Source organism: Homo sapiens, chromosome 16 (genome assembly GCF_000001405.40).
Source record: "Homo sapiens chromosome 16, GRCh38.p14 Primary Assembly".
NCBI classification, from domain to species: domain Eukaryota; kingdom Metazoa; phylum Chordata; class Mammalia; order Primates; family Hominidae; genus Homo; species Homo sapiens.
Window position 1 is genome coordinate 46,674,775 of NC_000016.10, and position 11,795 is coordinate 46,686,569.

The 11,795-nt window shown below is 35.1% G+C and overlaps 1 protein-coding gene across 3 annotated transcripts in view; it reads right to left on the bottom strand.

Moving 5' to 3' along the window:
- VPS35 (VPS35 retromer complex component) overlaps positions 1–11,795 on the bottom strand; it is a 33,047-nt gene that overhangs the window by 18,643 nt on the left and 2,609 nt on the right. For 2 of the 3 annotated variants that reach the window (NM_018206.6, XM_011523227.4), the window contains exons 2-8: positions 8,734–8,832; positions 7,305–7,401; positions 6,603–6,726; positions 5,897–6,079; positions 4,169–4,382; positions 2,541–2,624; positions 1,809–1,918 (exon numbers count right to left, since the gene is read on the bottom strand). In NM_018206.6, coding sequence (NP_060676.2) covers positions 1,809–1,918; positions 2,541–2,624; positions 4,169–4,382; positions 5,897–6,079; positions 6,603–6,726; positions 7,305–7,401; positions 8,734–8,832 — 911 coding nt within the window. Of the gene's footprint in view, positions 1–1,808; positions 1,919–2,540; positions 2,625–4,168; positions 4,383–5,896; positions 6,080–6,602; positions 6,747–7,304; positions 7,402–8,733; positions 8,833–11,795 lie in introns of those variants that run through there. The other variant, XM_005256045.4, reaches the window with a different exon arrangement.

Sequence of the window (11,795 nt, forward strand, 5' to 3'; positions counted from 1 at the left end):
TTTTTGTTTTTTTTGTTTTGTTTTGTTTTGTTTTGAGACAGAGTCTCGCTCTGTCGCCCAGGCTGGAGTGCAGTCACGCACTCTCCACTCAATGAAACCTCCACCTGCTGAGCTCAGGCTATCCTCCTTCCACCTCAGCCTCCTGAGTAGCTGGGGCTAACAGCATGTGCCACCATACCCAGCTAATTTTTGTGTTTTCTGTAGTGATGGGGTTTCACCATGTTGCCCAGGGTGGTACTGACCTGGACTCAAGCAAGCCTCCCTCCTTGGCCTCCCAAAGTGCTGGGAATACAGATGTGAGCCACTGCACCCGGCCTCCTCAATTCATTTTTAACTAAACAGTTTTGCCAATGAAACCTTTTTCATCAGCATTCTTATTTCACACCATATTAAGTAGATTTTCAACAAGATAATTCTCTCAACTCTTTGAAGCATAATTAAGCAGATATGGACAGAAATGCATTAAAGTGACAAATGTATTCAACAACCATGATTTAAATAAATAACCTTTAAAAAATAAAAGTACATAGACTATTTTAAGATACTGCATTTTTACTAAAGCTTGAAATACAACTAAGTCTAAAATTCATAAAATTAACTTTTATTTCCCACATCTTAAATTACTCAAAATAGTATGTTTCATTATCATTATCTGTTTGTCAGTCACAACTACATCCACATTTTGCTATGCCCAGAAGCATCACTACTGACAGAGATGTGTAAGTGACATTACAGGCAACTCAGGAAAATCCAGTTACTAGCTTCCTTTAAGAGTGGGCCCAATAAGTATGGAATTTTTGCTGCCCAGGATTGAGCTGACAATTTGGAAAAATTTGTTATCTAAATTCTCAGACTTTAAAACTAATAACTTAGTTTTTTAAAAAACATACAAAAGGTATCTGCAGAAATAAATCTTCTCTTAGGTTTCTGGTTTCATGACAATGCTTACAAGTGTAGGACAGACATCATATACTACTACATAACATGGCTGCAAAAAAGCCACCCATTGGCCAAGCGCAGTGGCTCATGTCTGTAATCCCAGCACTTTGGGAAGCTGAGGCAGGCAGATCATTTGAGCTCAGGAGTTTGAGACTAGCCTAGCCAACCTGGCAAAACCCTGTCTCTACTAAAAATACAAAAATTAGCTGGGCTTGTTGGTGCATGTCTGTAATCCCAGCTACTCCGGAGGCTGAGACACTAGAATCACTTGAACCTAGGAGTCAGAGGTTGCAGTGAGCCGAGACAGCGTCACTGCACTCTAGCTTGGGTGACAAGAGTGAGGATCTGTCTCAAAAAAAAAAAAAAAAAAAAAAACCTAAGAAAATAAAAAAGTGGATGTACTAAACATATTTGATACTTAAAATTTTTTCTTTAAGAAAATGTGATGATAGAGTGATTACTTGAACATTTTCAATCATCAGTATCTTACGGCTACTCTAAATCAAATGAGTTCCCACTGCAAGATACTTACATCATGGTAAAAAACAAATTTTGTTCTTCAATATGATCTTTGGATTTGTATGATTTAAAAAATAAGTCTGTACAACATCTTTAAATGTCAATTAAGCACACAGAATAAAGATATTCATTATCTTCACGTCTCCTGCACATTTAAGTTAAGCCTCTTTCATGTCTAACCTAGACAAGTACCTAGTACTCATACTCACAAAGCTAAATTATTTATAGTATAATTAAATTAAGATCATTGGTATGATAAAGATGTAACAGAAACAAATAATTCAAAAAAATGTTTAAAATTCATTATTCCCAAGTCAGAGCATTTATCCGCCAGTGTTGGAAGGTCTTACCTATCAATTAAAGCAATGATTATGTTCTTCACATTTACATTCTGGTGTAACTCAGCACAGGCCCGAAGAAAAGGATTCAAAGTCTGGAGGTGAAATTCATCAGGGAAAACCTGAAAATCAAATGATCAATACAAATAAAAGTATTTCACGTAATATTCTGGACTCACATATGGTAAAGTTCACATTTGTGGGAAAAAAACACTGTATTCTTATACAACTAAATTCAAACACATTACTTTTGAACCTCTCTACTAAACATAAGCTCAGACAGAAATATTCCAATAAACAAAGTGCACCTACAATTAAACTAAAGCTACAGAGACCTAGAAAACTCAGATTACTCATTCCTACATTTTGGAGGAAAACAAACCACATTGATACAAAGACCAAGGTATAAGTTAGAAACAGAAAATTCCTATTTTTAAATTATTTTTAGAAGAAGCAAGATTACATGAAAAAAAAAAGAAACACTAAAAAAATTTTTTTAATTTTTTATAGAAACGGCATCGTGCTATGTTGCCCAGGCTGGTTTTGAACTCCTGGCCTCAAGAGATCCTCCCACCTTGAACTCCCAAACTGCTGAGATTACAGGTGTGAGTCACCACACCCCGCAAGGAAAACTCTTTATTCAGGAAAGCTTATTTCCTATTCCATCAAAATTTTTTCAAAACAATTAAATTTAATGAAAGATAAAATAGGTCGTTTAAAAAAAAATGAAATGTTCCCAGCTACCTGAATAATACACTCCATGAGATATTCTTGAGCCAAAGCATCCCTACAGTTTACAACTTGCTCCAATATGCCAGTCAAAACAATCTAAAAGAGAAAAAACACACATAAGGGTTAAAATCTGTTTTCAAAATCTTAAGCTATTCCTCTAGTAACGCATTTGAACTACTAACTTGAAAATCGTATTTGAGATTTTTCTCACCAAGACTTCACTTCTAAACTTTAAAAGCTTTTTTCTTTTTGAGACAAGGTCTTGTTCGGTTGCCCAGGCTGGAGTGAAGTGGCACAATCTCCACTCAATGCAACATCCACCTCCTAGGCTCAAGTCATCCTCCCACCTCAAGCCTCCTGAGTGCTGGGACTACAGGTACGTTCCACCATGCCCAGCTAATTTTGGTAATTTTTGTAGAGATGGGGTCTCCCTATGTTGCCCAGGCCTGTCTCAAACTCCTGGACTCAAGTGATCCATCTGCCTTGGCCTCTCAAAAGTGAGCTTTTTTCTTCATGGCTTGTGCTTGTATATCCTCAGAAATCTTTGTCTAATCCTAGGTCATAAAGATTTCCTCTGTGTTTTCTTCTAACATTATTAGGTTCTATATTTAGGTCTCTGATTGATTTCTGTGTTTTTTCTATATGGTATGAGGGATGGGTCAAGGTTCAGGGTTTTTTGTTTGCATATAAACATCCAATTGTTCCAGAATCACTTGCTGAAAAGGTTGCCTTTGTACTTTTATCAAAAATAACTGATCATAAATATCTGGGTCTATTATGGATTGTCCAGTCAGAGATCGGTAAACTGAGCTGCTGCTTGTTTTTACAAATAAAGTTTTACTAGAACACAGCCATGCCCATTCACTTCCATATTGCCTGTGGGTGCTTTTGCACCATATCTGCACTGTTATTAGTTGTAGACTAGGGTGTCCAATCTTTTGGCTTGAAGAAGAATTAGAATTGTCTTGGGCCATACATAAAATACACTTAGCTGATGAGCTTTAAAAAAAAAAAAAAAAAAAAAAAAAAAAAGCAAAAAATCTCATGTTTTAAAGTTTACAAACTTATGTTGGGCCATATTCAAGGCTGTCCTGGGCTGCAGGTTGGACAAGCTTGTTGTACAGCACATGTCTTACAAAGCCAAAAACCATTTATTATCTGGTCCCTCACAGGTAAAGTTTGCCATTCCCTGTTTTATTCCCCTCCATTGATTTGTGTGTCTATCCTTTTCACCAATACCACACAGGATCTCACTGCAGCTTTAGAGTAAATCATTAATTCAGGTTGCTTGGGTCTTTCAACTTGTTCTTCCTTTTCAAATTCGTTGTAGCTGTTCCAGGTTCTTTGTTTCTTCATATAAACTTTAGAATCAGCTTCTTAATTTCTACAAAAGTCTGCTGGGATTTTGACTGAGATTACATTGGATCTATAAATCAATTCTTTTTAAATGCTATTTTGACAATATTAAGTCTTCCAATCCACAAACACTGCATATATATCTTTCCGTTTAAGTCTTCTTCAATAACAGCCATTTTAAGATGTTTTTCAATGTACTATTGTATAACAAAAATATTCTGATTTTAAAAATCAGATTTCAGTTTATCTCTGAACATAAGAAGAGGTAACAAAAATATATAAACCTGTTTGTAACGTTCCACATTTACACCTTCCAACTGACTGAGGCGCACCAAATTTGTTCCCACTAAAATTCTCAGTTCTTGTCTTTCTCGTTCTCTTTTTTCTCTATCTCGGCTATGTCCCTGATGCTGCATTCGCACCCAGAGCTTGTTCATTTCTGCAAAGTTGAGCAGTACAAAATCCATGGAATCACTGATGTCACCAGTTGTTTCTTCACTGCAAAGAAACAGAAAAGTCTTTACACAGTATTTACAGGACCAACTTACTACTATCCTTCTCCTTTGTGTATTTCCTACTTATCTCTATAGTACACCAATGCTTTATAAAAAATCACTTTCAACTTCATTGGCTTAGTGTTAAATTTCAAAGGGAACAGACTCTAGGGTAAAAAGTACCATGGAGAGGACAGTATAAATTTAAAGGGCAAATTACTTTCCCCAACTCCTCATCCTGGGCCAACTGGACTTGCTCTTATGGCAACTTCCTTAATTGAAAAAGGCTAGAAGGATGGGCATGGTGGCTCATGTCCGTAATCCAGTGCTTTGGGAGGCCAAGGCAGGAAGATCGCTTTAGGCCAGGAGTTTAAAACTGGCCTGGGCAACATAATGAGACCCCATCCCCACAAACCAAAAACAAAAACAAAAGGCTAAAAAATGTAACACTTATGGTGTACTGCTAACTACATCATTTTACTGTTGAATATTTTGTTTTTAATTGGAATGTAAGCTTTGTGAGGGAAGAGACCATGGATTTCCTGCTTTATTTTTCTACGTCTCCTAGGATGGAGACCTCAGTACCTTTCAAAAATTGTTATTGATTGCCTAATTAAATGCTCAAAACGGACACTCAAAACATAATAAAGCAAGTAACTTCATCAATTTCTCTACATTGTTAAATGTTTTATCTTTTCTGTACTGTTTTAAAAGAAATTGATGCAGATATATTAAAAAACATTAGAAATAAATGATATATTAAAAACCTTAGAAATAAATGAAAATATTAAAAAGAAAAAAACAAAATCTGTTGGGGCAAACTGAAAAAAGATTAAAAATTAAAAAAAGAAAGAAAATAAATGAATAAACTTTTTAAAAAAGGAATGAAGTTCTTTAATCTGGGGACCTGTCATGTGAACAGCTCACCCCACTGAAGACCACAGTTGGCTGACCATCTGCCCCTGCTGTGGGATAAAAGTACAGTAGACTTTGATGCTAGAATACTGATAACACAAGAGACAGGAGTGTCTCTGAATGGCTTTTATTTTTCCTTCTCTGGAGTTAATAGCTAACTCGTAACAGATAATTCAAATCACTTATATTCCAAGGTAACTAGCAGTCTATAAATTATAAAAACTGATAGACACTAAAGGAACAATTATGAAATCCAGCTGGCTCACACTTTATTATTTCATTACAAATTCAATTTCCAAATACAACTCTCTTAAAAAAGTTTTATTTTCAAAGAAGATTTAATGTAGTAGAAAAAATTACATTAAATGAAAAAAGCAGGTCCTAACAATCCAAAGATAAAATTTGCATAAGAGTACATTTTAGATGATACCACATATACTGAGGAGTTCTATATTACAAAGGAAATCTATATACAAATGCTACCTAAATGGCTGACTGGGTGGAAGAATTATTCACACTTTGTTTCTGTATATGTTTCCACACTTTTATACATTCTACAATGAAAGAAATATTGCAACAAAATTAAGAAAGAAAATCACTTACTCTGTTGGCTCTCCTTCATCAGGTAAGATATTTCTGGTACACTGAAGAAGGTAATTTCGAAGAAACAGACCCCTCAAGGGATGTTGCACACCACGGCACATTTCTACCAAATCTTTCAAAATATCCTTCCTGGACTGAGGAAATGACTTGACATATACAACTCCAACTGTGATCAAAAGGTAACTAGGAAAATTATGAAGAAATGCTGATTAGAAATAAAATATTCAAATCAAGAATTTATTTCCAAACACACTGAACAAAACATTAAATAAACAAGACAGGAACCATGTTGTTTTCTCCCGCATGACAAGGAAAATATCTCATTTAAAATATAACCACTGACTGACCTCTAAAAAAACTATACACACACACACACACACACACACACACACACTGTATATATACAACATAGATATTACCTTTAAACATATTAGGAAGAGAACAATTATATTAATTTTTCTAATAGTCAAGACATTAAAAAAAATAGCAAGCATGTCCATTTTTTCTATTTCCAAAATTCCTCAAATATCTACATAAAACGTAAATCTAGTTACTCTAAAACAAGTAAGAGAATATCTACCAAAATGTTCATCTCAATTTGTTAAGAAGTTACCCTTAAAACTTTTTCTTAAGCTGATAATCATAAAAGACGTAACATATAGTGAGAAATACAGACACAAAAGTTCTCTGATTTGTAATTACTTACAGCCTTGGGATAATGTTTCCAGCATACTGTACAAGTTCGTAGAGATCTGCCACTTTCCTTCCTTTAGCAAACTCATCTGTCAGGTAGACCTCCAAGTAGTGCAGTTCATCAGAAATGGCCATATCTTTTAATTATGATTAAGGACTAAAAATAAAAATAAGCCAACCTAAACAAAACTTTGAAACTTGTTGGAGTCATTACTAACTACTGGGCAGACATCTTAAGTTTTAGTCCTTTAAGAAAGTGTTCAAGCGAAGGATGAATTTTAGCCGGACTTTTCTTACTTTAAAATAAGGGTTTTAAAGCATGTGTGGTCAAGCAAAGCAGTAAATACAATGGTTACCTGTCAGACTGCTAATGGGTTTTGAAATGGCAAATGATTAAATTCCTGTCCATTTGAGACTGCTGCATAACAAAATCTAAGTATTAAAGAACCAACTGTGTCATAGCCTAAATATCCTCATGAAGGGTCTGAAAATTGAGATGCACCGACAACACATTTAAAGATGTTTAAGCATAGGAAAGGAGTACTCTCAAAGTGTTTTTCTCACTTAGCACATCTGCATGGAGAAGGAGTGCCATGTGACTCAGATAACGAAGAATAAGATAACTCCAGAAAAACTTCATAAAGAACAAACAAAATAGGCCTTATCAAGAAAAAGGTATGGTCCAAATGTTTAGTCTTCAACATTCAAAAGATACAAAGTTCATAGTAACTCTTTGGTGATAACATAGAAGTCCGGAGTTCACCAAGCATATTAGAAGCATGTTTTAGAGCATCCATAAGCTTGTTTTTGTCCTACAGAAATACCAAGAGAATAGATGAGAATGCTTAATTTAAATAAACATTTATCTTGGTTGTACAAATTCTTTACATCAAGGACTTGTTACATAGTTTTAAAAGAATACCGCACTTAAATGATTTTAACCACATTAAAAAAACAACTTAGATCGGTTCACCTTGCCGTCTCTACTGAAAAAGAAAAAGATACATGATTCTTAGTAAGACTTAACATAGCTAAGACTGCAAGCTTCTTGATAGAATGCTAATCTTTTCAATCTATAGAGACTAGGAAACTAGCTCCATTCATCACATTTTACCTGCAATCAAGAGAACTGGCATACTGATTCAGGTGAAGGAAGATACTATCCTGACATGGCTTTGTCATGGGTTAAAGACTCTTCAGAGCTGTCTGAAATGACTATCCATGTAAGTTTGCTTTCCTCTTGCATTCTTCAAGCCCTCACAATGCCCATATGTTCCACTTAACTCAGAAATGCAAGCAATTCCTTGAGATAGAGGAAACACTATCCATACACAGGAAGAGAAAGAAGCAAGCAATAGCAAACCCAGCTTCTCCATTCCAAGACATTTATTTTTCATTCCCAATTTGTTAGGAATTAAACCAATAAAAGACACAAGAGCATATTACTATGCTTTAGAAAGCACAGTAAGACATTTTACAAAGGTAAAATAGCATCATCTTCATCACAGTAATTTATAGTTTAAAGTACTAACCAATTTGGCTCAATTCCTTACATTTTAATCCAGAGAATCAAAAGTATCTACACAGATTATCTCTTACTTTATCTTTTAGAATATAAAAATATGTAAATAAGTGTTAAGTATAATTTTTAAGCTAGCTTCTACAATAAATATATCTATTCAGCAAAGAAATTAAAGTTTTCAAGATATTTAGAAAAAAAGCTGAATAATTCAAATGCAAAGCATTTAAATCCATTCATTCAACAAATATTTACTGAGTACCTATTATATGTTAAATATTCCTCAGGTCTGAGGTATAGAACCAAGGAGGCTAGTAATTCTGGTCAGACACTGGTGTGGTAATAATACAGTAATGTGTAAATAAAAGGAAGGGTCTCTTATTCTTATGAGCTTGTATTCTAGTAGGGAAGACAGACAATCCCAAACCATAAATATACATGTGAGTAAACAGGGCTCTTTGTTGAAATTGCTCCACAAAGTGCTTGAGGGAGATGAGACTGAAGATAGATGCTGGTAAACGGTGAAGATTAGATTTACCAGAAACACCTGACTCTAGAAGACACTGCACATGCTTCCTTAGGAACACACGAACTGCAACTGTGCCTCCCACATCTCCATTCTTACCAGGCATCTCTTCATTTGGAATGACTGGACCTTCACAGCCTGTATGGCTTCATCCAAGAGCTTTTCCTGCTCATCCTGAGGGGACTGCTGTGTTGTAGGCTGAAAAATAAAAAATTCCACTGATGTCTCAAGCACATTCTTCTAGCAAGTACGTTATTTCTATAGTTCTAGCCATAGTCCTTCTCCAACAATGTCCAGCTCTATACCTCAAACCCATTTACCAAATTTTTTTTTTGAGACGGAGTCTAGCTCTGTCGCCCAGGCTGGAGTGCAGTGGTGCCATCTCGGCTCATGGCAAGCTCCGCCTCCCGGGTTCAAGCCATTCTCCTGCCTCAGCCTCCTAAGTAGCTGGGACTACAAGCGCCCATCACCACACCCGGCTAATTTTTTTTCTATTTTTAGTAGAGACGGGGTTTCACCATGTTAGCCAGGATAGTCTCCATCTCCTGACCTCGTGATTCGCCTGCCTCGACCTCCCAAAGTGCTTGGATTATAGGCATGAGCCACCGCACCCAGCCCATTTACCAATTATTAACAGCTGCTGCACACAGAGTCATGCCTTATCGCTGAAGTTAACAGAATAAGACTGACAAAGGAGAATAGTATGTGTACAAAGAATTGCCTCTCTCTCAGAAAGTAGGCTGGCCTCAAAGAAACTTGCAGTGGTAGTTCATGGCTGTGTTCTGCTAACACACTCTGAATCCAACCCAGACATAGCCATCTGACCAATCGAAATCTTGTGATAGGTATAGCCGAAACCAATCTCTAAAGCCTCTCTTTTCCTCTAGACTACTTATCATCTGCATTTCAGTCTATTCTTAAGACAGACTAAGGAACTAGTTTACGAGAACAGTGACCAGCCCCTCCTTGGCAATATTTAACAAAAGACTAAACAGTCTAGAAATAAAACAGCCAAAATTGTTAGTGACTTACAGTAGAAAACAATAAAGAGCACTGTCCTCAAATAGCTTACACCATTTCAGATATACTGATCTACAGCTACAGTGGACAAAATATATCTAGACACTCTTCTCTTTGCCATCAGCAAAAATCTGCTTGCAAAATGAATTCAATCTCCATGCCAAAAAGAATTAACCACTTCTTCAAGTCATATAAACACTGTTTACATCTCCACCACAGCATGTATCACATTATTATTATAAATGACGGTCATTTTTACATCCTTGGGATCCAACACACTGCTTGATACATAATATGCTCCACAAATGTTCACTGCATAAATGAATACACTGGTTTTAGAATGTTTAGATATTTAACAAAAAAAGACTGAATAATTAATGGATGAATAAACAAGTTGTGGTATATACATACAATTACAGAATATTATTCAACCATGAAAAGGAATGAAGTATTGCTACATAAACAAACCTAGAAAACATCATGCTAAATGAAAGAAGCTAGACATAAAAAGCCACATATTGTATGATTCCTCTAATATGAAATATTCTGTATAGGAACAGAAAGTAGACTGATGATTACCAGGAGAGAGGCTGAGGGGAATAATCACTTAATGGGCACTGGCTTTCTTTTAGGGGTAGGGAAAATGTTTTGAAACCAAAGGTGGTGATTGTACAGTATTGTGAGCATACTAAATGCCACTTTATAAATTGTTCACTTTAAAATGGTTAATTTTTTGTTATGTCATTTCACTTTTATTTTTTAAAACAATGACTAAAGACAAAATGCCTCTCACACAATGAGTTGAAGAGGTGGAAGGCAAGGACTTACACATCAACCTGCAAGTAAAATCTGGTCTGTTTCATTATCTAAGAAAAGCAAAACAACATTTCATTTTGAGATTAACAAAGAAACTTGATAACATAAAACCCACTTCTGAACTAGCATAGCTTATAAAAATTGAAAACTTTCTCTTGTTCTAACTTTGGAAAGAGAAAAATATTAACTGAATAATGAACAACACCATGCATCTCCCTTTTTTTCCCTATGAAAAACTCTAGTAAACTGAGCTCTGCTGCAAGCACTCTTCCTCAGAAGCACAAACAAATTTCAAAGAAGAAGTTAGGTATCTTTTAAACTTCACTTAAAGGGAACATGAATTTAACCCAGTGGAACTATTACCATAAAATGCTGGTTTCAGAGGCAAGGATGACACCAGCATTTAAAGACTCTGACTTAATGAAATTTACTATTCATCATGGGCTAGTCTTCTCTGAACTTTAGTGAAACCAGGCCATCATTTGGAATTTTTTGGCTCCTTACCTCTGGACGCAATAGATTTAATAATAATTTGAATCAATGGATTTCATTAAGTTCAATTGATCCATTTAGAGATAAACAGTGATACATCTGAATTTTTTTTATTTTTCTTTATGATACATCTGGATATTTTTAATTAAAAATGACTTCTTGTTGTGGTAAAATGTACCTAAAATTTACCATTTTAACATTTAAATGTACAGTTCAGTGGCATTAGGTACATTCACATTAATACAATTACCACCATCTATCTCTAAAACTTTTTATCTTTACAAATGCAAATAGAAACTGTAGCCATTAAACTCCCATTCCGAACCCCCAGGCAATTCTACCTTCTTTTCTCTGAGTTTGACTACTCTATATACTTCATTTAAGTGAAATCATACAATATTTTTACTTTTATGTCTCGCTTATTTCACTGACCATAATATCTTCAATGTTCATCCATGTTGCAGTATGTGCCAGAATTTCCCTCCTTTTAAAAACGAAGTATTTCATTATATATCTATATATATACACACACACTACATTTTGTTTATCCATGGACATATGGGTTGTTTCCACCTTTTGGCTGTTGTGTATGATAATTTTTATTATATAGCAAATGAAACTGTGGCTACAAAGAGGATACAATCAGTTCCAAAAACATTTGTATAGAATGACTAGAAAGATTTAGAGATGTGTAAACAAAAGAATGCAATTTTAGGAAAATTCTTCTATTTTGTCTCAACTCAGCTTAAAATAGAAATGTAAATACAAAATGTTGAAGATTACAGAATATGACTTATTACAAAGTAAGCTACAAGTGAAGACATAAAGCTATA